Source organism: Homo sapiens, chromosome 14, assembly GCF_000001405.40.
Source record: "Homo sapiens chromosome 14, GRCh38.p14 Primary Assembly".
Classification (NCBI taxonomy): domain Eukaryota; kingdom Metazoa; phylum Chordata; class Mammalia; order Primates; family Hominidae; genus Homo; species Homo sapiens.
In genome coordinates this window covers 70,616,564-70,644,186 of record NC_000014.9, presented here as the reverse complement: position 1 = coordinate 70,644,186, position 27,623 = coordinate 70,616,564, and the positions used below count along the sequence as shown (strand labels likewise).

The window sequence follows — 27,623 nt, the reverse complement described above, 5'->3', positions numbered from 1 at the left end:
GCAGTGCTAGCCACTGGTTGGCAGCCCTAGAATGTCCATGGATAATACTGACTAAATATAAGATTCCATTACCACTCCAAAGTCACCGCATTAGCAATCCACAGTGCCTCGTCCTCCACCCATGGCTGCTCTGCCCTTTAACTATTCATGGGGCAGCAGACAGTATGCCAAAGACTTACAGGAACTAAAGGACTCAAGCTGTATCTTATAATGGATTGAAAGAGTCCATTTTTGCTGTACTACAATTTTATCTGCTACTATTACTGCTAGTATTGCTATTAGCACCACCACTCCTCCAACTGCTGCTACTACTACTCTATTAATCCTTTAAGTCTGTAAAGTACTTTACAATTTACAAAGTGCCTCCGTAGCCTGGGTTTTACCCGATCAAAGATGAGACTGGGCATGGCATTCTGGGAAGACAGAGGTAGGCTGGTACTAGAAACCTCAGAGGGAACAGAGAGATCTGCATTTAAGAACCGAGCAGAATTGCCAGTATTTATTTTTACTCCCCCACCACTGCCTCGGCTTCAGACACATTCACCATTCCCTGCCACACCCAGTCACTCTTCCACCCCTACCCTGCTCTAACTGTCCATAGACAGTTTAGGCAACCTCACATGTCAGGAACTAGGAGGAACTGCCCTTTGTTTGGTCGGAGAAGGTTGACCATGCCAGAATCTCACCAAATGGGGCAAGAGAAGAGGAGAGAATGCTTTTTAAGTTGCCTTTGCCAACCTCTCCCACCTTCTCCCAGGAAGGCCCTAGCAAGAGCCAGACTCTTCTTTTTTTAAGAGACTTTAAATATTCCTGCGCCTAAATTAAACAATTTTTAAATCCCTGATTTTGGCTCTTATCCCCAAAGGGAATGTTGGAATGTACACCTTCTTTGCCCAAGAGTAGGGCCCCCTTTTCCTTCACCCCTAGCAGCCAGCTGGCGTGAGGACTGATGCTACACATAGTGAGAAACGGGCAGGGAGGAGAGGGAGAATGCAGCATAGTTCAAGCCCAACCATGAACCAAGCTTCTTTTGAGATAGAGATCTTCACCTGGCAACCGGGAGCCCCAGCAGAGCTCAGAGAGAAGAAAGTGGCATTCTGGAATCCATTTTGCTCAAGATGCTGAAGGCATGGTGTCAAACTCCCCTTTGCTACTGGGGCCAAAAAACTTGGGGAAGATCTTACCTACAGGGATGCGGTTAGTTGGGGAAAAGGCGAGGACCAATCCTGGTGCTCATGCTACCTAAGGAGAGCAGACAGGTGCGTGGCCTCCCTTGGGACCCACCCGCAGGAAAAAGCTGGGCTAGCGGTGGCTGCGGGGGCCCACCCCGGGCGCTGCTTCCGCATTTTGGACCCAGGTCCACTGGTGAGCAGTAGCAGCAGCAGCCATAGCCAGGCCAGCTGGGTCCCCTTCCAGTCATTTCTAGGTGAGATTTACGATGTATGCTAGCGAAGGGACAAGAGATGATTATGGCCTTTGAAAGGCATAATCCTGAAAGTCACACTTTTTCCAAAGCGCCTCCCTCCCGGGTTCTCCCCAGAGCAACACAGTCACAGCAGGAGAATCTGCACCGCGGGAGCGCCGCAGTGGTCCGCGGAGGGACCGGGCCGAAGAACGGGGACCGCGGCGCGGGGGGCGCGGCGCGGCTCACCTGCCAGGCTGTTGTAACAGTCGATCTCGATGGCTTCCACCGTCTTGCTCTGCTCCTCCGAGAGGCGGCCGGGCTTCAGGGCCCCAGCCGGGGAGGCCGGGCGCGAGTCCCGCTCCCGTTCCCCGGGGGGCGGCAGCAGCCCCTTCAGCTCCAGCAACGCCCGGTGGTATTTGCCTATGGCTTCACGGAATTTCTTGTCCTTGTAGCACTGCGCCCCTTGGCTTTTGAACTCGTGCGCTCGTCGGATGAGCTCGGCCGGCTCGGCCGCCGCCCCGACCTGGCCCCTCGCTGGGGCTCCTCCGCCGCCGCCCGGGACGCACAGCGGCGGCGGTGGCCGCTGCCCCTCTCCGGCCGCGGGCGGGCTCGGGTTCCCCTTGGCCCCGGCCGCCGAGCCCTTTCTCTCCATTCGGCCGCCGCCCCGGCGCCTGGTGCGCGCCGCGATCTGCCCGCCGCCGCCGCCGCCGCCGCGCCTTCCCGGGTTTAAAAGCCGCGGGCGCCGGCCCCGCGCCTCGCAGGCTTCGTGGCGGCCGTGACACCCCGCGGCGGTCTGGCGCCCCGCACTCCCATTCTCCCCGCTGCTGCCAGAGGCTGCTCCAGCCGCCGCCGCCGCCGCCTCGGACGCCGGCCCCTCCCCCGCCTCCCGGCTCCGCGCCGCCCGCTCCCGCCCTCCTCCCTCCGCAACCTGCGGGTGGCGGGGGCCGGTGCTCGCGGGCCCGGGACTAGCGCTGCGGGGGGACCGTGGCCCCGAGTGGGGTGGCGGGGATGGTCGCTGACCCGGAAGAAGCTTGGCTTGCCCGAAGGAGGGGAGGATTAATGACAAAGACGGCCCCGCTCTTTCCCATTCAATCCCGCTCTGCGAGGCGCGCCTAGTCTGAAAGGAGGTGGGGGGAGGGGGGTAGGTGTAGGGGAAGGGGAGTGTGTGTGTGTGCGTGTGTGTGTGTGTGTGTGCGTGCGTGTAGGGATGGGGGGCGGCGGCGACGAAATGCGTGCAGAAATAGATTTCTTAACTACAAGAAAAGGTGCGGCAGGGAACAAGGGGCGCAGGCGCAAGCCGTAGCTGCTAGTTCTTTGCAGTAAGGTGTTAGTATTTTTTAAGGGGGCAGGGCCTCCTTTTTGTGGATCCAGGTTGTCGCTGAGGTGTGTCTCGGTGTGTGTGGTCGCCGGGGCGTCCAGAACGCGACGGGCGGTACAGCGTGTGGGGCGCCGTATTCTGGGAGCCTGTGTATGCGTGTGCTGTGTGCGCGCAGCTGTGCAGGATGAATCACAGACATCAGAGATGGAGAACACCTGTTACTGTGGGTCATCGGCTTGGCGTGCGTCCGGTCTAGTTTCCATTTACAGGACAGTTCTGTGCCCTTCCTCAGGAGGTCCCATTCCTTCCTTCTTTTGGTCGGTTCTGAGTGTCAGCTGTCTACTGGGGATCTGCTAAGGCTAAGAGGCAAAGATAGGCAAGTCACTCCCCTGACCTCAAGAAACTCCCAGTCTACAGGCGAAGATACACCACCCACCGGTAGAGTCGCTGGACCAGGTACAGATGGTGCCTGTCATTGGGGAGGAACGAAAAGTGCTGTGCAGCCCTGAGGGGGGGAGGGAGAGGTAGCTTTTTGAGTAGTGGTAGATCAGGAGGCTTTATGGAGGAAATAGCATTTGAGGACCTTGAAGGCTGGGTAGGATTTGGCATGAAGAAGTAGAAGGAAGTGGCATAGCCGGAGTGAGGAAATCCAGCGGAAGTCCTGATGTTTGAAATCTCAGGTGTGTTTAGGGCATAGTGGTTTGATTTTATAGCCTAATGAGAAGTAGTGGGAAATGACGGGGTTGGATTATGGGGGCTTTTGGATGAAGAGTTTGGATTTGATTTTGGAGTCAATGGAGAAGCCTGACATATTTTTTAGTGCCCTCCCTTCCTTAATGTTAAGAAAAAGAAAGATTCTAGAGCACCGGTTGTCAGAGTGCTGGCCCCAGACCTGCAGTGTCAGCATCACCTGGGAAACAGTTAGAAATGCAAATCCTAGGATCCTACTCCAGACTTAAGAAATCAGAAACTCTGAGGGTGGGTCTCAGTTAACCAGTATATTGGTTCAGATATGCTGCTTTAAAACCTTCCTACTCAAAATGTAGACCTTGGGCCAATATCATCAGCATCACAGGAGAACCTATCAGAAATGCAGAATCTGAAAATCCCACACCTACTAACCCAGAAGCTGCATTTTAACGAGCATACTGGGTGATTTGTTTACCTATTAAAGTGTGAGAAACACTGCTGTAGAGACTTTGGAAAATACAGTAAAGTATAAAGAACCCCCCAGTCTACACCCAGTTGTATTCTTTGTTAATATTTTGATGTAATTCCTACCAGTTGTTTCCTAGGCATCTATATTTGTAAAAAGTGCTCTTTTAGCCAACATAAGTGGTATGGAACAATATACACAATTCATTTACTGTTTGTTGTTGTTGTTGTTGTTTTCTTTTCTTTTTTATTTTTGAGTCAGGGTCTTTCTCTGTCACCCAGGCTGCAGTGCAGTGGCATGATAATTGCTCACTGCAGCCTCAAACTCCTGGGCTCAAGGGATCCTCTCACCTCTTACTTTAGCCTCCTGAGAAGTTGCAACTATAGGTGCACACCACTACCCCTGGTTAATTATTTTTTTTGTAGAGACAGGGTCTTGCAATGTTCCCCAGGCTTGCTTCCTGTGCTTTTTACTTTACATTATATGTAATTAAATATTCTTTTAAAGCCTAATTTTTAATATTCTGTACAATATTCCATTGTAAGTGGCCGGGTGCAGTGGCTCACGCCTGTAATCTCAGCACTTTGGGAGGCGGAGGTGGGTGGATTACCTGAGACTAGAAGTTCAAGACCAGCCTGGCTAACATGGTGAAACCCCATCTGTACTAAAAATACAAAAACCAGCTGGGCATGGTGGTGGCTGCCTGTAATCCCAGCTACTTGGGAGGCTGAGCAGGAGAAACGCTTGAACCCGGGAGGCAGAGGTTGCAGTGAGCCAAGAGCGTGCCATTGCACTCTAGCATGGGCCGCAGCGGGAGACTCTATCTCAAAAAAAAAAAAAAAAAAAAAAATTCCACTGTAAGTGTACCATAGTGTACTTAAGCATTCTTCTATAGTCAGAAAGATTTTGCTATTATAAATAACACTGAGATAAAAATAATAGATATCACTTACATATAGTATTTACATTGTGCCAGGCATTGGGTTAAGCACTTAACATATAATAATCCACTGAATCTTCATAATAACTTAGTGAAATCAGTGCTATTGTTATCCTCATTTTAGACACCAAGTCACAGAGACTTGCCTGAGATTACACTGCTAATGAGTAGTGGAGCTGGGACTTAAACCCAAGAAATTTGGCTCCAGAATCTATGCTCTTAACTATCTTTATACTTAAATTTTTTTCCTAATTTATTTTTTCTTACAAAACATTATTTCAAGTTTTAATAAAGTCTAGAAACACATTGTCAACTTGCTTCTCAGAAAGATTGTACTAACTTGTGCTGCCACCAGCAATATGCTAGTTTCACCACCTCCTTGCCAACGTCAAGGGTGAGCTCTTAAGAAATATTTTCTAATTTGATAAATTAAAAATGTATATAGAATTAAATGAGATAGCTCTAATTATAAAGGTGAACATTTTTCACATATACCGTTGTCATTTATAGAGAACCTAGGGCTTTTAGTTGGACACAATTTTAGCGTGCTAAATTATGTCTTGTATTTCTTTACTTTCCTAAATGCTTTGACATTTTTCATCTCATTTGATCCTCACATTATCCCTGGAGAGGGGAGATGATTCTCTGCTCACACAGTGCGTTTGCAGTGGTATCTTACAAGTGAGACATCGTATAAGTTCAGTGGTTAAAAGATTCTAGACTCAGACAAGTGTTATCTGGAATTCTATCTTGACTATTTCCTGGGCAAGTTATTCAACTTCTGAAAACTTAATTTCCTCATTCATTAAGTGGGACTACTACTTACTTCATAGGGTTGTTGTGAAGCATAAGTGCTGGACAGATGGTAACTTTAATTATTGCTCTTAAATCCTGTCACTGTTGGATCCCATAAGAATGTTGTGACAGAACTCCAGTTAATTCATAAATATTTGCCAATTGCCGGCTCTTTTTACTTTAAGGTATTGCATCAGGTAGAGCAAAGAGAAGAAATTAGAGGTTGGGCACTCCGAATTTTTGTTGTTACCAGTCCTTAAAATAACTTAGATAGGACAGGCTACAGGAGGCAAATATTGGATAAAGACCCAGGCCTGGAATTTGGCTCCTGTCAGAAATAAGACGTGAATTGGGTCACAGTGGTCACAACCATTTAAAGCTAAGAAATATTGACATGCCAAATTGCTTTTTATTTTCCCACTGTGTGCTGGCTTAATGGTGCAGTATCTCACTCTTAGATTTTGGGTTTGAGGACACGGCTCTGAGAAACATGGAACCCATGCGTTACTAACCTGTGTATGAAGCAGAACTCAACACAAGAGCTTAGTACTAGCTCCGATAAAGGCGAGCATGAACGAGGAAGGGAGGGAATATTAAGAGCGGTAGCATGGAGTGAGAGTAGAATTACTATGCCCATCTGTCCCGCTCCACAGAGTTGTCTGTGTAGGTCTAGAACCGTTCTGTTTGCTTGTTGTTAGTATACTTCTGTCTCTGTTTAAGCCACTCATTGGTAAACGTGTTTTGGCTTCCCAAAAATGGTCTTCTTCCTTCAAATGGAATTAAATAAATGCCAACAAGAATTTCTTAAACGTTCTTCCATTAACCGTTGGCCATATGCAGAGCACTATTTTAGGAAGTGAGAAAAGACCCAAATGACAGAAAATCTGAGCATGAACTTCAGAGTCAGAAACTCAGTGCTTCTCCATGCATGTTTATAGCAGCACAGTTCACAATTGCAAAGATGTGGAAGCAACCTGTGTTCCCATTGACTAATGAGTAGATAAATAAAATGTGGTATGTATATACCATGGAATACTGCTAAGCCATCAAAAGGAACGAAATAACGTCTTTTGCAGCAACTTGGATGGAGCCAGAGGCCATTATTCTAAGTGAAGTAACATAAAAGTGGAAAACCAAAAACCGTATGTTCTCATATATAAGTGAGAGCTAAGCTATGAGTACGCAAAGGCATACAGAGTGGTACTTTAGAGACTCAGAATGGGGAGAGTGGGGAGGGCCTAGGGATAAAAAAAAACAAAAACAAAACTATACATTAGGCACAATGTATACTACTTGGGTGATGGGTGCACTAAAATCTCAGAATTCACCACTATACAATTCGTGTAACAAAAAACCACTTGTACCCCAAAAGCTATTGAAATAAAAAAATACAAAAAATATAAAAAAGAATCTCAGTGCTTCTCAAACTTTAATGTGTATACGAATTGCTTGGAGATCTTATTAAAATGCAGTTTTCTGACTCTGTTAATTTAGGCTGGGGCCCGAGATTATGTTTCTTTTTTTTTTTTTTTTTTTCTTATTTTGAGACAGAGTCTCGCTCTGTCACCCAGGTTGGAGTGCAATGGCATGATCTTGGCTCACTGCAACCTCTGCCTCCCGGGTTCAAGCGATTCTCCTGCCTCAGCCTCCCAAGTAGCTGGCGCTACAGGCACATGCCACCATGCCTGGCTAATTTTTTTATATTTTTAGTAGAGACAGGGTTTCACTGTGTCTTGATCTCCTGACCTCGTGATCCACCTACCTCGGCCTCCCAAAGTGCTGGGATTACAGGCGTGAGCCACTGCGTCCGGCCCCAAGATTATGTTTCTAACAAGCTGTCAGGTGCTGCTGATATTGCTGGTCCCTGGACCACATTTTGAGAAGCAAGTGTTTAGAGGGAAGGGAGTGTAGGATACAGTAAATTCCTCTTCAAAGTTTAGCCTGTTAACTCCCTTTAAAATTCAAGAGGGAGAAAAATTGTTAAGTACAATGAGTTCTGAGTTCCTCTTCAAAGAACCAATATGTCAGTATGTTTAGCTTCCCTGTTCTTTGTTTTCCATTTTAAAGTTTAACTTCCTTGTTCTTTATGCCTCTTTGCCCCTAGTTTCAGTAAACAACCTCCTCCTAGCCTCTGTCACCTCTTTTGTCTGTAGTCATCCTTAGTCACCTGTTCTGTCCTTAGTCATTCTTAGTCATCTGCTCTGTAACCATCCTTCCCATGGAAACTACTCACCTTGCCACTCCAGCTTGTACCCTCACTCTCTTTAAAATAGGCAATTGGAATTAGCTTAGACTTTGTGGTCCAACCCTAGCCAATAGGGGAAAGACACAGAGGTAGGGACTAGCTGCGTTAGGAATAAGACCCCCTTACCCTCCCTTGTCCGGTGTGCTCTTGCCGTTGCTCCATCTGTGAGACGCAGCCTTCTATAGAAGTAAATTGCCTTGCTGAGAAAACTTTTGCCTGAGTGCTGTTTTCACTTGGCGGCATTGAGCGTTTACTTCCAACAGGAGGCTCAGTATCTTCCCTTCTTTCCTAATCTTCACCTTTTCCCAGAGAGGGGTTGTTTACAGATTGGCCAGATTCTAGGGAATCAATTGATCCATGTTTAACATGAACAGAGTTATGAACCTCCATTCAGCTTTCTCTTAGTGCAGCAGGAATAGGTAAGCTGAATCAGGGCCTTCCCTTGGGATCTGGCCATGTTTTTTCTTCCTCAAATGCATAGCTAAGTGTACATTTTTTGCTTGCATCTTGTCTAATGTGGCAGGAAAGAAAGTGAGATTTTGGTATGTCATAGGGAGACGAAGGCCCTTGTAGGCCTTTAGTATAGGCTGCTTGCTCTAACTTTGTTTTTTTGTTTTGTTTTTTCAGAGACTGAGTCTTACTCTGTCGCCCAGGCTGGAGTGCAGTGGCATGATCTCGGCTAACTGCAACCTCCGCCTCCCTGGTTCAAGCAATTCTTGTGCCTCAGCCTCCCGAGTATCTGGGATTGCAGGCACATGCCACCACGCCTGGCTAATTTTTGTATTTTAGTAGAGAGGAACTTTCACTATGTTGGCCAGGCTGGTCTCGAACTCCAGACCTCAAGTGATCCGCCCACCTCAGACTCCCAAAGTGTTGGGACTATAAGCATGAGCCACTGTGCCCGGCCTCTAACTTTGTTTTTAGAAGAGTTCTACACTAAGAAATTGGGCATTTATTCAGGTAACTGTAAAGTGGTATTTTAATTTCTCATCTGTCAGTGGCACATGCATATATGGATTCTTCATGAACCTCATGAAGCAGAAAGATGACTGGGCCACACGGCAAGTTTCTAGTACTCATGGTACTTTGGCCCAATGTCATCAAAACCTGTCTCTTGTTTCCTGACAAGCTAGCCTTGAACACACCAGTGAATCCTGTGGATGCTCACACCACTAGCGAACAGCTCATTACTGCTGAGATATGCTGGAAGATTTCCTAGAGAAGTGTGTGGAACTGTTTTGAGGGAAAGACCTTTGTATGGTCAACAGTAGAAGGCACAATGTTCCTTTACAGGCTTCAAGCATTGTGTCTGCCCCAGTTCTGGATCTTGTTTCTGCCTCTTGGAGTCTTTGACTCTTCTGCTACCCACTGGTCTTGGAAGACTGGAGGCCCCTTTCTCTCCACACTCACTCTGGAGCTTGCGTACCTTCTAAACAGATGGCTTGTGCTGCTTTGTCTCTTCCTTCAGCTCAATCTCTTGAGCATATGTGAGACATGTATTTGAATATCTTTTGTACTAAGCTAAGCTATTCAGGGTTTGGTCACATGACAACCAAATCAAAGCTGTTTTGGGGATGTTTTTCTAATTGCATCAAACATTACAATTTACCTGAAAAATTATAGCATTTTCATTAAAAGTTGTTATCCATATTCAATCTTCAAATATCCCTCTATGGGAAAGCAGGAGATTTTTGAGTATTTTGTGTCCAGATGTAGCTAATGTGAGATTCATATTTTCATTCTTTCTACCTTCTGCTCACAACCCCAACCCAACAACAAATTTCTCTATGATTCCAGAGCCTGATTCAGCCTGACCTTATTTAGAAAAATAAGGCCTTTCTACCTATCTCCATTGTCTCCTGCCACCCAATCCATTCTCTGACTGCCTCATCTCCAGTATCAGTTGAAGCCCTCCTTGGGGCCATGATATTTATTTGGATCAGCCACCAACCTTCCTTAGGACACTCTTCTTTCCCCTATTCCATGTGGTCGGGTGGAACTGTCAATCATGGTGTCCTCTAGCTCCCTACACTGCCCCTGTCACCTCCCCCCGACTTGCTAGTACCTATTCCAGGCTTGAGCCCATTATGTTATTCTATCTTCCTACACCATAGTGATTGGTTTCAGGGAGAAGCACATGGACCAAGTAGAGACAATCAGAGCTTTCTCTGAGATTTATATATATAGACATTGGAAGAGAGAAATTCTTTTTTCTATTCTTTTATACTCATTAAAACAGTTTATTAATTCTTAACTTTGTATTATGGACAAATTTAAACATACACACAAAAAAGAGTAGCATAATGAATCTTTAAGAACCTATCACCCAGCTTACACAGTTACCAACAACTAATATTTATTGCCATATGTTTAGTTTTCCAGATGTACTATTCTTATATCTCTATGCCTTTGTACTTACCGTTTCCTACATGTTTCATGTTTCTGTATTTCTCATTTGCTTGCTCTTAGAATATTAGGTGTTCCAGTCAAAGTCACCCAGATTTGCCAAAAGACCTGGCACAAATGTCACTTCCACTATGAAGTCCCACTGACTTCCATATACAAGGTTGGTGTTCATTCTGTTATGTTCTGGTAGCTCCCTTTTCATGCTTTTATACTGCATAGCACTTATTTATTCAACATTCATTCAACAAACTTCTATTGAAATATTTCACGTTTTAGGTGTTGGAGATCAATGAATTAAAAAGGCAAAAATTGTCACCTTTGTAGAATGAGGGAAGACTGAAAATAAACATCATAAATAAATAAATTACATAGGCTGTTAGAATGTGATAATTGCAGTGGGAAAAGAGCTTAAGTGGAATTGGATGTGTGTGTATGTCTTCACATTTTAAATAAGGAAAATAAGATAAGCCATACTCATTACACTGCATAATGGTTATCTGCTTGCTTTTTTGTCTTTACAACTAGACTGTAGCTATTTGAAAGCAGAGATTGTGTCTTATTCTTTTTGTAGCCAAGCACCTAGTATATATATTAGCAAGCATTCTGTAATGGTTGTGGAATAAATGGAAAAAATAGAAGAATACAAGACACCAACTCTAAAGACTCTTGGTGTCAAGGAAGGTTTTTTTTTTTTGAAGTGGAGTTTCACCCTGTTACCCCAGGCTGCAGTGCAGGGGTGTCATCACTGTAACCTCCAACTCCCGGGTTCAAGTGGTCCTCCCACCTCAGCCTCACAAGTAGTTGGGATTATAGGCATGTGCCAGTATGCCTGGCTAATTTTTGTATTTTTAGTAGAGATGGGGTATTGCCATGTTGGCCAGGCTGGTCTCAAACTCCTGACCTCAAGTGACCCGCCTGCCTCTGCCTCCCAAAGTGCTGGGATTATAGGCGTGAGCCACTGCACCTGGCCTTTTTAATTTTTTTTTAAGGATAGTATAGGTACATGGGAAAAAATTCAAACAGTATTCTATATAATGGAATATATATTAAAAATACTATGTGTTCCTTCTCCCCTGGCCCCAGCCCTCCAAAATCTTTCCCAATGGCATCCACTATTACTTGTTTTTTATGTATCACTCCAGAGATAGAGATTATCTGTCTCTCTAGCTTTCAATGTAATATATCTTCAATCATAACTATTATCTTGGAAATCACTATATTTCAGTATACAGAACTGCTACGTTTTGAAATATAGCTATATAGTATGTGTTTTTATGAGTGCATCAGAATGTATTTCATCAGGCCTCAGTCAATGGCTATTTAAGTAGTAACAAAGATGTTTTGATGAACCACTTAACTAGTTGAAAAGTTAGGTTGCAGTGTGACTCTGATGCATCAAATCTTTCATATTTAACTAAGTCAGTAGCTTACCTGTCAGGGAAGAGGCCAGTCTCCACACCTCTGTGTATATCACTTAATTTCACCCATACCCATGAGGTTGTTATTCTGAGGCTCAACTTAGAAGAAGCCTGAGGTTTTCAGAGGTTCGGTAATTTGACCAAGGTCACACAGCTTGGAAGCAGGTGTGCCTTACCCCAAAGGTCATGCTTTTTGCCTCCCTTAGAGTTTTTGCTATTCCTGCAATAAAGAGGATCTCTGCAGAATGCCTGGATGATCATCCTGGATGATCTTTGATTCTCTCCAATCCAAAGATGCTCCAACACTGTGCCACCCTCTGCTGTCCATTCCCTGTTTTTTCTGTTGGCTTTATGTCCTGGGAGGTTGACCTCTGCACCAACTGGGCTCTTTGCCCTCTTATTGAGCGTCAGCTTTGGCAAAAGGGAGGCACCAACATGAGACTGGAGGATGAGAGAAGACAGATTAACATTTTTTTCCCACTTCCTCCCTGCTTTGGCACCAAGGTTTTGGCAGCGGTCGATTTTTTTATCACTATTATAACAAGGGGGCCCTTCCTCCTTGAGTCTACCTCTTAATGGGTTCTGGTAATACAATTTATTTCTCTCTCTCTTTCCCTTCCCTTCCCTTCTTCCCTTCCCTTCCCTTCTTCCCTTCCCTTCTTTCTTTCTTTCTTTCTTTCTTTCATTTCCTTCCTTCTTCTCTCTCTTTCTTTCTTTCTTTTCTCTTTCTCTCTCCTTCCTTCCTTCCTTCCTTCCCTCCCTCCCTCCCTCCTTCCTTCCTTCCTTCCTTCTTTTTTTGCCAAAATATCTTCCCTCTCTTGCTAATCTCTGGATACTTCAACATTCTTTCTTGGTTTCTTTAACCATGCCCACACTTATATAAATAGTCTTTGTATCAAAAGTCTCTTCAGATGAACCATTCATTAGTTAGATTTTTGTCTTCTGTCATAATCCTATTATAAATACTATTTTAAGATATAATCCCTTCCAGGAGAACTTTAAAGACCTGATGCTATAAGATTCAATGACATTAATCTCTAATGGTAAAATTTCAGGCTAATTAAGGGTAATTGGAACTTTTAACTCTCAAATTCTATCTACTTGGCAGCACCTATTTGGCCAAGTGCTAAGACTGGCTCTGCTGTTGGTTATATGTAGATTTTTTTGGTCATTGTCTTGTTCCTCATAAATTTATATGAAACTCTGATCCTGTAACCTTGGGTTTCCATTAGCAAGCATTTAACATTTTAGCAGTCTTTTTTAAATCCCCCAATCCCGCCAATCACACTACTTTTTTTCCTGCAGAATTGCTAGAGAGATATCTTAGTTATCTGTAGCTGTGTAACACATTACCCCCAAACTTAGCAGCTTAAAATATCATTTATCATTTTCAAACAATCTCATGGTCTCTGTAGGAGTCTCTTAGTTGTGTAGTTTTGGCTAAGTTATTTTAAGATGTTGCAGTCCAGCTGTTGGCCAGGACTGACGTTATCTGAAGGCTCCACTAGAAGAGATTCCAGCTCCAGCCTCAGTCACGTAATTGTTGGCAAGCCTCTGTTCCTTGCTGGCTATTGGCTGAACATCTTGGCATCTTGATGATCTACTGCATCATAGGCCCTGAGTGTCCTCACAATATGGTACCCAGCTTCCCCCAGAACAAGAGATCTAAGAGATCCATAATCTTTTAAAACTGAGTCTTGGAAGTGATATATCATCACTTCTGATGTAAAGTTGACCCTTGAAGATTGGGTGGGGGGGTGGTTAGGTGTGCCGACCTCTGTGCAGTCAAAAATCCTCGAACAGTTTTTGACTCCCCCAAAACTTAACTGAGAGCCTACTGTTGACCAGAAGCTTTATGATAACACATAAACAGTTGATTAACACATATTTTGTGTTATATGTTTTATATACTGTATTCTTACAATAAAGTAAGCTACAGAAAAGCTAATGTTATTAAGAAAATTGCAAGGAAGAGAAAATCTATTTACTATTCATTAATTAGAAGTGGATTATCATAAAGGCCTTCATCCTTACAATCTTTATACTGAGTAAGCTGAGGAGGAAGAAGAAGAAGAGGTGTTGGTCTTGCTGTCTCAGGCGTGGCAGAGGAAGAAGTGGTGGAGGAGATGGAAGGGAGGTAAGAAAGGCAGACACACTTGGTGTCACTCTATGGAATACATCATAATTTTTATCTGACATTTTTGCTTTTCTGTTTCTCTAAAAATGTTTCCCTGTGGCACCAATGCTTCTTCAATCATTTGCTTTAGCTTCAGTGCCTATATCATGGAAGGGTCCCTGTAGTGAAAGAAGTCAAAGACAGTCTTGAATAATTGGAAACCTTCTCCCAGATTTTCTAATATCAATTAACTTTCTGGCACTGCTTCTTCTATTATGTCTTCTTCCTCATCATCTAGCACTGATTTGGAAGCACTCAGCTCCATCAAGTCATCTTTATTAATTCCTCTGGTTTGGTATTTAATCACTGTTGAATTTCTCTGAGATCCATATCTTGAAACTCTTTATCCCCTACTTTTTTTTTTTTTTTTTTTGCCATATCCACAGTCTCTTTTCATGATTTCCTCAACTGGCTCTGCTGTAATTCTCTTGAAGTCATGCACAGCATCTGGACACAATTTTCTCCAGCAGAAATTTATTGTTCCAGGCTTGGTAACTTTCACAGCGTTTTCTGTAACACTGATGACATCTGCAATGGTGTAATTCTTCTAGACTTTCATGATGTTCTCTCTGTTGGGGGTTTCTTCCTCAGCACTAACAATCCTTTCCATAGAGTACCATATTTAATAAGCTTTAAAGGTCCTTATGACCCCCTTATCTAGAGGCGAAATTAGCAACATTGTGTGTGTGGGCAAGTAGGCCACTTTAACACCTGTAGTGTTGAACTCATAGGGTTCTGAGTGGCCAGGGGCAATGTCCAATATCAAAAGAACCTTAAAAGGCAGTCCATTACTGGCAAGGTGCTTTCTGACTTCAGGGACAAAGCATCAGTGGACCCAATCCAGAAAAAGGGTTCTCATTATCCAGGCCTTCTTATCAGCCAAAAGATTGGCAGCTGGTGTTATCTTTTCCTTTCAAGGCTCAGGGGTTAGCAGGTTTATAGGTAAGGGCAGTCATGATTATAAACCCATCTGCATCTCCATAAAACAGTAGAGTTAGCCTATCCCTTCCTGCCTTAAATTATTGTGCTCACTTCCCTTCCTTACTAATAAATGTCCTTTGTGGCATTTAATTTTTAAATAGGGCACTTTTATCTGCGTTAAAAACCTGTTCAGGCAGATATCCTTTCTCCTCAATGATTTTCTTTCTTTCTGGGTTTTTTTTTTGTTTTTTTGCTTTTTTTGTTTTTTTTTTTGAGACAGAGTCTCAGTCTGTCACCCAGGCTGGAGTGCAGTGGCACGATCTCGGCTCACTGCAAGCTCAGCCTCCCGGGTTCCCACCATTCTCCTGCCTCAGCCTCCCAAGTAGCTGGGACTACAGGCACCTGCCACCACGCCCGGCTAGTTTTTTTTTGTATTTTTAGTAGAGATGGGGTTTCACTTTGTTAGCCAGGATGGTCTCCATCTCCTGACCTTGTGATCTGCCTGCCTCGGCCTCGCAAAGTGCTGGGATTACAGGTTTGAGCCACCGCGCCTGGCCAGTATGAGTGCCACATTCATAATGACATAAGTTCATCTAGTACTTTGTGGCTTATCAAGCATTTTAGCCTCATTTAGATCCTTACAATACTACCTCAGTGTGTAAGGCGAGGCAGTTTTTTATTTGTTTGTTTTTGTTTTTTTTCAAAATGGAGTTTCACTCTGTCTTTCGAGATGGAGTGCAGTGGCGCCATCTCGGCTCACTGCAACCTTTGCCTCTTGGGTTCTCCTGCCTCAGCCTCCCAAGTAGCTGGGATTACAGGCGTGTGCCTCCATGCCCAGCTAATTTTTGTATTTTTAGTAGAGATGGGGTTTCACCATGTTGGCCAGGTTGGTCTCAAACTCCTGACCTTGTGATCCACCCACCTTGGCCTCCCAAAGTGCTGGGATTACAGGTATGAACCACTGCACCCAGCCCTGAATAATATTTTATTGTATGTAATACTTTTGCTTATCTGTTCATCTGTTGATGGATATTTGGATTGCTTTCCCCTTTTGGCTATTGTAAATAGTACTGTTGTGAACATGGGGGTACAAATAGCTCTTCAAGACCTTGCTTTCAGTTGTTTTGGATTTATACCCAGAAGCTGGAGTGTTGGATCATATGATAACTTTATTTTTAATTTGGTGAGGAAAATCCATACTGTTTACCATAGTAGTTGCACCATTTTACAATCCACCAACAGTGCACAAGTGTTGCAATTTCGCCACATCCTTATCAGCATTCATTATTTTCTAAGGTTTTTTTTGTTTGTTTTTTGGCTAGTAGCTAAATATTACTGGGTGCTCAGTAATATCTCACTGTGGTTTTGATTTGCATTTCTCAGATAAACAGTGATGTTGAACGTCTTTTCATATGCTTGCTGGTCATTTTTATATCATCTTTAGAGAAATATCTATCCAAGTCCTTTGCCTATTTTTAGTTGAGTTATTTGATTTTTTGTTGTTGAGCTGTAGGAGCTCTTTATATATTCTGGCTATTAAGCCCTAATTAGATAATGATTTGCAAATATTTTATCTCATTTTATAGATGTCCTTTTCACTATGTTGATTCTGACTTTTGATACACAAAAGTTAAGTTTGATGTAATCCCAATTGTCTATTTTTGCTTTAGTTATCTGTGCTTTGGGGGTCATATTTCAGAAATCATTGCCAAGACTAATGTTAAGAGATTTTTCCCTATGTTTTCTTCTAAGAGTTTTATAGTTTTAAATCTCATGTTCAAATCTTTAATCTATTTTGAGTTAATTTTTGTATATAGTGTGAGACAGGTTTCCAACTTCATTCTTTTGCATGTGGATATCCAGTTTTCCCATCACCATTTGTTGAAGACTGTCATTCCCCCATTGAGTGGTTTTGTCATTCTTGTCAAAGATCATTTGACCGTATACATGACAGTTTATTTCTAGGCTCCATATTCTATTTCATTGTTTTGTCTGTCTTTATGCCAATAGCACACTGTTTTGATTACTGTTGCTTTATAATATGTTTGGAAATCAGAAAGTTTGAGTTTTCCAAATTTGTTCTTTTTCAATTTTTTTTTTGTTGTTGTTATTTGAGGTCTCTTGAAATTCCATATGAATTTTAGGATGGATTTTTCCATTTCTACAAAAAATGCCATTAGGATTTGATAGCCTTTGCATTGAAACTGTACATTGCTTTGGATAGTAGGAACATCTAAATAATATTAAGCCTTCCAACCATGAACAAGAAATGCCTTTCTATTTATTTCTATCTTCTTTACTCTTTTCAGCAATGTTTTATAGTTTTTAGTGTACAAGTCTTTCACCTTCTTAGTTCATTTTATTCCTAATTTTTTTTGTTTTTGATGTTATTATAAATGGAATTGTTTTCTTAATTTCCTTTTCGAATTTGTTTGTTGTTAGTGTATAGAAATGCGACTGACTTTTGTGTGTTAATTTTGTATCCTGCAATGTTGCTAAATTTATTGATTAGTTCTAATAGATTTTCTCTCTCTCTCTCTCTCTCTCTGTCTCTCTCTCTCTCTCTCTCTGTGTGTGTGTGTGTGTGTAGTCCTTAGGGCTTTCTATGTATAAAATTATGTCATCTGTGAACAGAGGTAATTTTACTTCTCCCTTTCTAATTTTGATAACTTTTATTTCTTTTTCTTACCTAATTGCTTTGGCTAGGATTGCCAATCTATGTTGAATAGAAATGGAGAGAGTAGAAATCCTTGTCTTGTTCCTCATCTAAGAGGAAAAGCTTTCAGTATTTCACCACTGAGTATGATTTAGCGGTGAGCTTTTCATAAATGACCTTTGTTTTGTTGAGGCAGTTTCCTTCTATTCTTAGTTTGTTGAGTTTTTTTTTAATCATGAAAGTATGTTGAATTTTGTCAAATGCTTTTTCTGCATTGAGATGATCATGTGTTTTTCCCCTTTCCTTCTGTTAAGTGGTGTATTACATGGGTTGATTTTTATATGTTGAAGTATTCTTACATTTCAGAAATAAATCCCACTGGGCTATGGTGTGTAATTTTTTTTAACATCTGACTGAATTCAGTTTGCTAGTATTCTCTCGAGGATTTTTGCATTAATATTCCTCCAGGATATTGGTCTATAGTTTTCTTTTCTGGTGGCTTTTTTTTTTTTTTTTTTGGCTTTAGTCTCGGGGTAATGCTAGCCTCATAGCCTTATAGAATGAGCTTGGAAGTATTCCCCATCTGCCATTTCTTAGAAGAATTTCAGAAGAATTGGTGTTAATTCTTTAAATGTCTGATAGAATTCTCTAGTGAAGCCCTCTGGTCCTATACATTTCTTTGTTTAGAGGTTTTTGATCACGAATTCAACATCTTGTTATTGATCTTTCATATTATCTATTTCTTCAGTATTTGATTCAGTCTTGGTAGGTTGTATCTTTCTAGGAATTTATCTGTTTCCCTAGATTATCCAATTTGTTGGTGAAAATTGTTCATAGTATTATCTTATAATTCTTTTCATTTCTGTCATATTGATTATAATGTACCCCCTTTAAAAAATTTTGTTATGTGAGTCTTCTCTTTTTTTTTTTTTTAGTATATCTAGCTAATGGCCTGTCCATTTTGTTGATCTTTTCAAATACACATTCTTAGTTGTATTGATTTTTCCTATTGTTTTTCTATTCTTTACTTTGTTTACCTCTGCTCTAATCATATTATTGTTCCTTCTCATAGCTTTGGGTTTAGTTCTTCTTTTTCTAGTTTCTGAGTGTAAAGTTAGATTGTTGATTTGAGATCTTTATTCTTTTTTAATGTACGCATTTACAGCTATAAACTTCTGTTGTGGTGGACCCATATTGATTCCATTGATTCACATTGATTCACAGAGGCTGAAGAAGAGACCAGAGCCAGCGAACAAGACATAGGGTTTATTGGGGACTTATGCACACAGTCGTCCAGGACCAGTGAGCTGGACAGGCAAACCACTCCCATTTGTATCATGCATGTTATACCACATTTTCATTACACTCCCATGTAAATCATGTATGTTATACCACATTTTCATTTAGCAACCTCCACTTAACAACCTCCACTTGGTAACATCCATTTAACTCAAAACAAAGGGCCTTGATCCCCTGTACAGCCTACATTCGAAGGGATGGACCAGGGGTTTGGATGTTCTTCATAGTTAAGGAGTGAATTTCCAGGTTGGCCACTCCTGAATTCCTTAGCTTGAAACTCTGAACACACATTCTTCCTAGACCATAGGGTCATTCTCAGGGTATGCTTGAGTTATTGCTGTCACATGTGTCTGCCATACAACTTCCCTCTTAGCACTGTTTTCACTGCATCCTGTAAGTTTTTGTATGTTGTGTTTTCATTTGCAGTTTTCTCAAGGTATTTTCTAATTCCTCTTATGATTTATTTTTTGGCACATTGGTTGTTTAAGAGTGTGTTGTTTAATTTCCACACATTTGTACATTTTGTACATTTGTGGGTTTTTTTACAGTTATCCATATGAACGACTTTTTTTTTTTTTTTTTTTTTTTTTTTGAGACAGGGTCTTGCTCTGTCGCCCAGGCTGGAGTGCAGTGGCAAGATCTCAGCTCACTGCAACCTCTGCCTCCCAGGATCAAGTGATCCTCCTGCCTTAGCCTCTTGAGTATAGGCATATACTATAGGGACTATAGGCATGCACCACCACACCCAGCTAAGTTTTGTATTTTTGGTAGAGACAGGGTTTCACCATGTTGCCCAGGCTGGTTTTAAACTCCTGGGCTCAAGCAATCCTCCTGCCTCGGCCTCCCAAAGTACTGGGATTACAGGTATGAGCCACCATGCCTGGCTGAAAACATTCTTTGTGTGATATCAATGTTATTGAATTTGCTAAAACTTGTTCTGTGGCCTAATTTGTAGTCTCTCCTGGAGAATGTTCCACGTGCATGCAAGAAGAATTTATATTCTGCTGTTGTTGGATGGAGTGTTCTGCTTATATCTGTTATGTTCAATTGGTCTATAGTGTTGTTCGAGTCCTCTTACTGATGTTATTGATGTTATTTGGTTGTTCTACTCATTATTGATGTTATTTGGTTGTTCTATTCATTATGAAAGTGACCTTTCTCCTTTTAATTCTGCCAAGTTTTGCTTCATATGTTTAGGAGCTCTGATGTTTGGTACATAAATATTTGTCAGTTATATCTTCTTAGTGAATTGACCATTTTATCATTACATAATGTCCTTCTTTGCCTCTTGTAACAGTCTTTGATTTAAAGTCTATTTGGTCTGATATTAGTATAGCCACTGTTGCTCTATTTTGATTATCATTTGCATAGAATACCTTTTTTCATCCTTTCACCCTCAATCTCTGCATGTCCTTAGATCTAAAGTGAGTCTCCTGTAGAAAGGAAACAGTTGGATCCTATTTTTAAAAACTGATGTAATCAATTTCTGTTTCTTGATTGGGGAATTTAATCCATTTACAGTTAAAGTAATTACCTATAGGGAAGGACTTACTATTGCCATTTTGTTCATTGTTTTGTGTATGTCCTATAGCTTTTTTCTTCCTCATTTCCTCTGTTATTGTCTTCCTTTATATTTCATTTTTTTTTGGTAGCAATGTGATTGGATTTACTTCTCATTTTCTTTTGTGTATATTCTATAGCTTTTTGTGGTTACTATTCTAGTTATGTAAGACATCTCAAAATGATAGCCTTCTACTTTAAATTGATAACAGCTTAACTTCATTGCAGACAAAATTCTGCTCCTTTGCAGCTCTACTCTCCCCAGATATTACTGATGTCATACACTACTTCTTTATACATTGTATACTCATTAACACAGATCTATTTTTAAAATATTTCTGTCATTAATATTTTATGCACAAAAATTATAACAGTATAGGTTTCTATATTTGGCTATGTACTACCCTTACCAGAGAACCTTCTATTTTCATATGGCTTTGTGTTGCTCTCTACTGTCCTTTCATTTCAACTTGAAGGACTCCCTTTAGTATTTCTTATAGAGAAGGTCTAGTAGTAATAAATTCCCTCAGCTTTTGTTTATTTCAAAGTCTTAATTTCTTCGTAATTTTGGAAGAACAGTTTGCCAGATACAGTATTCTTGGTTGACTATTTTTTTCCTTTCATCACTTTGAATATATCATGCCACTCCCTTCTAACCTGTAGTTTCTGCTGAGAAATCTACTGATAATCTTATGGAAGTTTCCTTTTATGTGACAAATTGCGTTTCTCATGCTTTCAAGTTACTCTCTTTGTCTTTGACTTTAGAGTTTGATTACAATGTGTTTTGGTGTGATTCTTTTTGGATTTATTCTGGTTAGGGTTCTGAATTGAGCTCTTGAGTCTGTATGTTCTTCTTTTTCCTCAGATTTAGGAAGTTTTCAGCCATTATTTGTTCATATAAGCTCTCTGTCCCTTTCTCTCATTCTTTTTCTGAGATTTTAATAATACATATATTAGGCTACTTGATAGTGTTTTGTAAATCCCTTGGGCTGTCTTCACTTTTCTTCATTTTTTTTCTTCTTGCTCCTCTGACTCAGTGACTTTACATGATCTGTCTCTGAGTTTGCTGACTATTTCTTTTGCCTGATCAAGTCTGCTGTTGGATCCTTCTACTATTTTTTGTACCGTTATTATATTTTTCAGCTACAGAATTTGTTTGGTTCTTTTTTTATAATTTCTATCTCCTTGTTGATATTCTCATTTTGTTCGTGCATCATTTCCCTGATTTTATTTAGTTGCCTATCAGTGTTCACTCGGCCCAGTGTTTGTTATCTTTTAGATAGCATCTTTATGATAGTGTTTGTTATCCTTTTGGTAGCATCTTTATGATAGTTATTTTAAATTCCTTTTCAGGCAACTAGTAGATCATATTTCTTCAGAATTGATTTCTGGAGTTTTATTTGATCCTTTGTGCCAAATTTCTCTGTTTCTTTGGATGTCTTAAAATGTTTTGCTAGAACTTGGCCATTTGAAGACCTTTCCTAGTCTTTGGCTTCATACAGGGAAAGACCTTCACCAATCAACCCTGCTGGAGGATCTAGGACCTCTCAAACCTTTTCTGATCTCTTACTCCTTCTGGTGTCTGCCTGTGGAACTGCGACTCTAACCTGCTACTCACCTCTGTTTTTAGTGGCTTCCAAATGCTTGACCTGGTCCTGTCAGCACTGATTTCTGTTAGGTGAGACAGAAACTAATCCCTTGGGCAGCCCCCAGATAAGCCAGAACATTCAATGCATGGCTCATTCTTCTGTTTCCATCCCTGAGGGTGGAGCCTTGGAGTAAGGGGTTTCTCCAAAGTTGCTCAGGTTTATGCCACGTAGAGGAAAGGACACAGATGGGCATGCCAGATGTTGCAAAATTGTCTATCCATTTTGCCAGAATCTCTTCTTGGTTTTACAATGACCTGGGTGCTGTAGCTTTTCAACCTGTCTCTAGAGTTCATTCTGACCTGTATATTGTTAACTCAGTGTCCCTGTGGGGAAAGGAGGGCCTGTATCTTCCTATTCCACCATCTTGCTGACAACACTCCCTCCCGCTAAAGTCTTTCCATCTATTCCCTTTGGATTTGAGTACCTGAATGGTATAATGTGGTTCCTTTGGTGTCCTAATGTTGAAACTAGGATGTCATCAAGGTTTGATGTGTGAAAGGGGCATTTCAGACCCAGCAATAGAGACCTCTTTCTGAACAGATGGCTATTTCCATGTTCCTCAAATCACTCTCTTGACTACCACACATGTTTGAATTGTGTGGGATAGCTCTGGTTGCCCTGTGAAAACTGTGGAATATGCGTTCATAATCATGGAGCTCCTGCATATGGCCAGATTTCCTTTCCCTTCTCTTTTACCCAAGATGTTTTCAGATCTGCAGAATTGCATCTGAACTCCTGCAGATTCTGCTAGTGCTCCAACAGTCTGTCACCAGCCAAGCTAATCATCCATTATTTATTCCCTGTTCTTGCATTCTGCCCCAGCCCTCCCATAGGTAGAGATGCTGAGACTTTGTTGGTAAACTCAGGACTAGAGTGTGGGCCAAGGAGGAAGGTATTTGGGCACAAGGGTGGGTAGGACAGAAAGAAAAAACTAGGATGAACATACAGCTTCATTTCCTCTTAACTCTCTTACATGAACCAGATAATCTTACACTAGGAATGTAAAATACCTGACTTGTCAAAACCAGAAACTCAGGGCTCTCTAAACTCCTCTAGTAAATAAAAGTTTAGGCTCACTGGTGGGGATTAAAGAGGCTGTTTAAGGATAATATTAAGAGAACCATAAAAGTACATATTATACCACAGACAGAATTTATTAACAGTTTCCCTTCTTTCTTTACCTCTTTCTTGTTTTTCTTCTTCGAGTCTTTTTTTTTTTTTTTTTTGAGATGGAGTCTTGCCCTGTCGCCTAGGCTAGAGTGCAGTGGTGCAATCTCGGCTCACTGCAACCTCTGCCTCCCGGGTTCAAGCAATTCTCCTGCCTCAGCCTCCTGAGTAGCTGGGATTACAGGTGTGTGCCACCACACCCAGCTAATTTTTGTATTTTTAGTAGAGACAGGGGGTTTCACCATGTTGGTCAGGCTGGTCTCAAACTCCTGACCTCGTGATCTGCCCCTCTAGGCCTCCCAAAGTGCTGGGATTACAGGCGTGAGCCACTGACCGGCCCAAGTCTTTCTTTACTTTGTATTTGCCAGCAACTAAGTTGCGTCTTAGTTGATAGATACATTCTATCTTCATTAAGTACTTTTCTGTGCTAAGAAGTAAAGAGACTGCATTGTTTTAAGTTGGCTGTTACTTAAGTTTTAAAGTGAATTCCCTCTCTTCTTCTACATACTAAGTTGGCTCTGATAATGCTACTACTTTGTAATATGGGTTCATAATCATGGAGCTCCTGAATATGGCCAGATTTCCTTTCCATTCCTATTACAAAGTAGGAATGCTACTACTTTATAGCATTATCAGAGCCAACTTAGTATGTGGAAAAAGAGAGGGAAGGTCTAAAGAAAAATTCAGAATCAGAATTGTTAGATCTGAATTGTGGGGCTGAAGAGCAGTTCAAAGTTGTTGTGGGAATTGGGGCCTATCAGACAGTTAGAGGGAAAGTACAAAAAAAGAGGCCAAGTGTTCATTTTCTAGTCTAACCCATTAGCTTAGAGACTTTGGGGAGTACCATGCTCAGGATTTATTTAAAATATTTTTTTAAAAATTATGGTTACTTCCTTTACCAATCCTCTTTCAGTTAAAAAAAAAAGCCAGAGAAAGGTGAAATATTTTTCTTTTTTTTTTGTCCCAATATATCTGGGGTTTGGAATTCTTCCTGAGCACTAACAAGGAAATCTAGCCAGGCTTATGCTTCTGTGAGCCAAAAGAAGAGCCAATAGAATACTGCTTGGTGAAGCAGAGGCTGCCATTGGCAAAGGAGGCTTCTGCTGTATGGAAAGGTGCTAGATTTTTCCAGAATCTAGCTAGGGAGTGTGGGGTGACTCAGCCCTTTTCCTGTACCTTTAGGGTTGAAAAATAAACCTTTCTGCCTCATTTTGGTCCTGAGCCAACCTGTGATGGTTCACCTGCCCCTTCCTTCTCAGCTACTTCCAATGATTAGGCCAAAGAACTTGTTAAACCAAGTTGAATATAAAGTTTCTAAACTTAAATATCCTAATATTATAAAGTCAATATATAATTCAAAGCCATAATTTTAGCAGTATATCTTATGTGAAATGAAGTGTGATAAGCCACCTTGGTACAGGAACACATCACGGAATCTTTGTATAGATGGCCGGGGGTGAGTAAGAGAAGAGGGTCCTTAGAGGTCACCTAGGCCAAAGTGTGGTAAGTACAGTGAAGTCTCTGAAGTTAGACTTTTCATATTCAAATCCTGGTTCTACCACTTGTCACTTGTGTGCATTGAGCAGGTGACAACTTCTCTAGGCTTGAGGTTCCTTGTCTTAAAAATGGGGACAATTGGCCGGGTGCAGTGGCTCATGCCTGTAATCCTAGCACTTTGGGAGGCCAAGGTTGGCAGATTGCTTGAGCTCAGGAGTTTGAGGCCAGCCTGGGCAACATGATGAATCCCCATCTCTACAAAAAATGCAAAAAAATTAGCCAGGCATGGTGGCTTGTGCCTGTAGTCCCAGCTATTTAAGAGGGCTGATGCAGGAGGATGAGTTGAGCCTGGGAGGTTGAGGCTGCAGTAATCCATGTTTGTGCCATTGCACTCCAGCCTGGGTGACAAAGTGAGACCCTGTTTCAAAAAATACAATACAATACAATACAATACAATACAATACAATACAATACAATACAGTACAATACAATACAATACAATACAATACAATACAATACAATAAAACTGTTGGGAGGATTAAATGCTAAAATCCTTGTCAAGTGTTTTCATTGAATTTCTAGGGCATAGTAAATACTTCACACAAGTTAGTTATTGTTGAGGTAAGTATTGTCACTGACACAAGTAAAAGATTAAAAAAAAAGGAGCCAAGATAACATTGTTGTTAGAGTATCGGCTCTGTGACCTTGGGAACACTATTTAACCTCTCTAAGCTCCAGTATCCTCTCAAAGCATTGTTGTTAGGCTTACATGAGAGAATATTGTCTCTATTTAGTTTAATATCAGCCTAACATCAGTGGTTACTATCTAGTCAAAACTGAGACATAGAGAGATTTACTGCCAAACTAGAAAAACACTGTAGTGTTCCCTAAAAATGGAAGTAGGGGCAGGGGGATGTAGAGGAGGTGGTGTTGAAGGAATCCCACTGAAGTTTTGTGGTCAACCTAACTTACGTTTAGGCAAGGGCTTGCCACCATGCTAGTCTGGGCTGGGCTCTTCTTCCCTGCAAGAATGCCTAATTTTTTTGCAGTGATGAATTAGCATTAGAGAAGGGAGTTCATGGGACTATTTATGTGTCTGTGGCAGCTGCAAAGAAAAGAGAGGTTTGGGCATTACCCTAGTTCAAACACTTAAAAAGCCAGCTGCTGTTGTTTCTTAAAAACAAGGTAACCTTCATTACCACTCTCTCTAAGTCACTTTTTTCAAATATAGCCCAGTGTAGCGATTACAGTGAGGACTCAGTGATATAGTGAGCTGCGTGGAATGAAAAGCATCTAGAAGAGCTTGGCAGATAGGACTTGCTTCGTAATAAACACCAGGTTTTGGGAAGTCTTCATTTAGCAAGAAAGGCTAGGATATCAGAAAAGTATTTTAACTCAAGCCCACAGCAAGACAATAAAAAATGTCTATACAGCCGATTTCCTTTCATATTATTGACTCAACCACCACAGTGTTCCACTATCTCCTCAGTGGCTGCTAGGACTCCTAAGTTTATATATGGGATTCATGGATTTTTCTTAGTTATATTTGTCCAGTTGACATCTTCACTTGGAGGATCCACTGGCACTTCAAACACAACACACCTAAAACTAAATGCAACTATTCTACCCTCTTTTCCAAATTGCTCTTTCAACTGTTTTGTATCTCAGTAAATCACCCAATTGCCAAGCTAGATATTTTGAATTCTTTTCCTCCTCACCCCATGTTTTTTGCCAATTCCTATCCATTCTACCTCCTAAATATCTATCATTTTAGTTCATTTCTTTTTACTGTTACTGTTACTTACTTAGCATAGGTCATCATCTTTTCAGGCTTAGATTATGATAACACATTTCTAAATTGAAATCTTGCCTCCTTGTCACTTGCCTCCTTAAAATCTTTCTTTAGTGTCCCACTGCTCTCAATTCCTTGGCATAGTTTACAATGATCTTACTTCTGATTTCTGCGACAATCTACTCTCATCCAGTCTTCTCATATATTCGATGTTCCAGCTATTCCGAACATTTTCCATTTTCTTCTTCTCTCTTGCCTCTTGGCTTTGGTTCATGCTCTTCCCTCTGCTTGCATTTTCTTACCTCTCCTTTTCATTTGGCTAACTTCTACTAGTCTTTCATTGTTTCTGCTTAAACATCCCTTCCTCTAGGAAGCCTTCCCTTTTCTCCCGTATGTGTTTAGTACCCTCTCCTCATGCTCTCAGACTACTCTGCTTCCTCCCTCATAGCTCTGATTACAATACGGTTTATCAGTGTTTTTGTCTGTATCCCTCGCTAGACTGAAATGTTGAGACTATGTCTATCTTGGTCACTGCTATTTCTCCATCACCCAGCACAGTGATTGGCACATTATAAATATTTTTTGAGGTTATATCATAACTATTTTGTGAATGAATGAATAAATAATAACACAAAAATATCCTTTTATATTGCAGGGCTTTTAAGGTTAAATAAGCCACACTTAGTAATGTTAACATGTAATCAGAAATGGAAAGATTCTGAAGTTCTCTCTTGACCTGCATTCCCTGCAAGTTCATCATTGGGAATTATCATCCCATCACATGCTCCGGTGCATGTAACCTATAGACAAGAGGGAGTGAGCCAAGTGCGTGATGCATGAGTCTTGGGTTATAACAACAGCTTGAGATGTCAAAAGTTTTCATTTTATACAGATTCAAGAACCTACAAAGTCACTGAGATTCTCATGAGAAAACTTAGAAATGACATTTGACCCACTATTTTGCATTGAATCACCAAGAACTATTTACTGAATGTGTCACAGTATGTGTTGCACCATATTCCCAATATCAGACAAAAATCCTGGCCTTTGAGCTTTTATTCACACACAAACACACACATACACACATACCTTTTATTTTATTAAAAAATTTAAATTTATTGTTTTAATCGATATATTGTTATTGTACACTTTTATGAGGTTTATTTTGATGTTTCAATACCTATTTATGTTATAGAATGATCCAATTAGAGTAGTTAATGTAT

General features: G+C 41.2%; 1 protein-coding gene and 1 long non-coding RNA gene across 2 annotated transcripts in view, besides 7 other annotated features; one reads left to right on the top strand and one right to left on the bottom strand.

Moving 5' to 3' along the window:
• TTC9 (tetratricopeptide repeat domain 9) overlaps positions 1-2,271 on the bottom strand; it is a 33,451-nt gene extending 31,180 nt beyond the window's left edge. Inside the window, exon 1 of the mRNA NM_015351.2 lies at positions 1,652-2,271. Coding sequence (NP_056166.1) covers positions 1,652-2,057 — 406 coding nt within the window. The 5' untranslated portion in view covers positions 2,058-2,271. The remainder of the gene's footprint in view (positions 1-1,651) is intronic.
• Positions 1,717-1,786: a silencer, noted in NCBI's record as "silent region_5889". NCBI's record gives its function as "represses an Ori minimal core promoter by ATAC-STARR-seq in GM12878 lymphoblastoid cells {active_cell/tissue: GM12878}" and the evidence as "EXISTENCE:reporter gene assay evidence [ECO:0000049][PMID:35858748]".
• Positions 1,807-1,996: a silencer, noted in NCBI's record as "silent region_5888". NCBI's record gives its function as "represses an Ori minimal core promoter by ATAC-STARR-seq in GM12878 lymphoblastoid cells {active_cell/tissue: GM12878}" and the evidence as "EXISTENCE:reporter gene assay evidence [ECO:0000049][PMID:35858748]".
• Positions 2,217-2,366: a silencer, noted in NCBI's record as "silent region_5887". NCBI's record gives its function as "represses an Ori minimal core promoter by ATAC-STARR-seq in GM12878 lymphoblastoid cells {active_cell/tissue: GM12878}" and the evidence as "EXISTENCE:reporter gene assay evidence [ECO:0000049][PMID:35858748]".
• Positions 2,837-3,096: an enhancer, noted in NCBI's record as "active region_8657". NCBI's record gives its function as "activates an Ori minimal core promoter by ATAC-STARR-seq in GM12878 lymphoblastoid cells {active_cell/tissue: GM12878}" and the evidence as "EXISTENCE:reporter gene assay evidence [ECO:0000049][PMID:35858748]".
• Positions 2,889-27,623, top strand: part of TTC9-DT (TTC9 divergent transcript) — a 32,501-nt gene continuing 7,766 nt past the window's right edge. The window contains exons 1-2 of the long non-coding RNA NR_110071.1: positions 2,889-3,179; positions 10,329-10,425. This is a non-coding gene — a long non-coding RNA (TTC9 divergent transcript). The remainder of the gene's footprint in view (positions 3,180-10,328; positions 10,426-27,623) is intronic.
• Positions 3,197-3,376: an enhancer, noted in NCBI's record as "active region_8656". NCBI's record gives its function as "activates an Ori minimal core promoter by ATAC-STARR-seq in GM12878 lymphoblastoid cells {active_cell/tissue: GM12878}" and the evidence as "EXISTENCE:reporter gene assay evidence [ECO:0000049][PMID:35858748]".
• Positions 7,190-8,389: an enhancer, noted in NCBI's record as "P300/CBP strongly-dependent group 1 enhancer chr14:71102515-71103714 (GRCh37/hg19 assembly coordinates)". NCBI's record gives its function as "activates an origin of replication core promoter dependent on BRD2, BRD4, P300/CBP, MED14 and CDK7 cofactors, with strong dependence on P300/CBP, by STARR-seq in HCT116 cells {active_cell/tissue: HCT116}" and the evidence as "EXISTENCE:reporter gene assay evidence [ECO:0000049][PMID:35650434]".
• Positions 21,846-21,965: an enhancer, noted in NCBI's record as "active region_8655". NCBI's record gives its function as "activates an Ori minimal core promoter by ATAC-STARR-seq in GM12878 lymphoblastoid cells {active_cell/tissue: GM12878}" and the evidence as "EXISTENCE:reporter gene assay evidence [ECO:0000049][PMID:35858748]".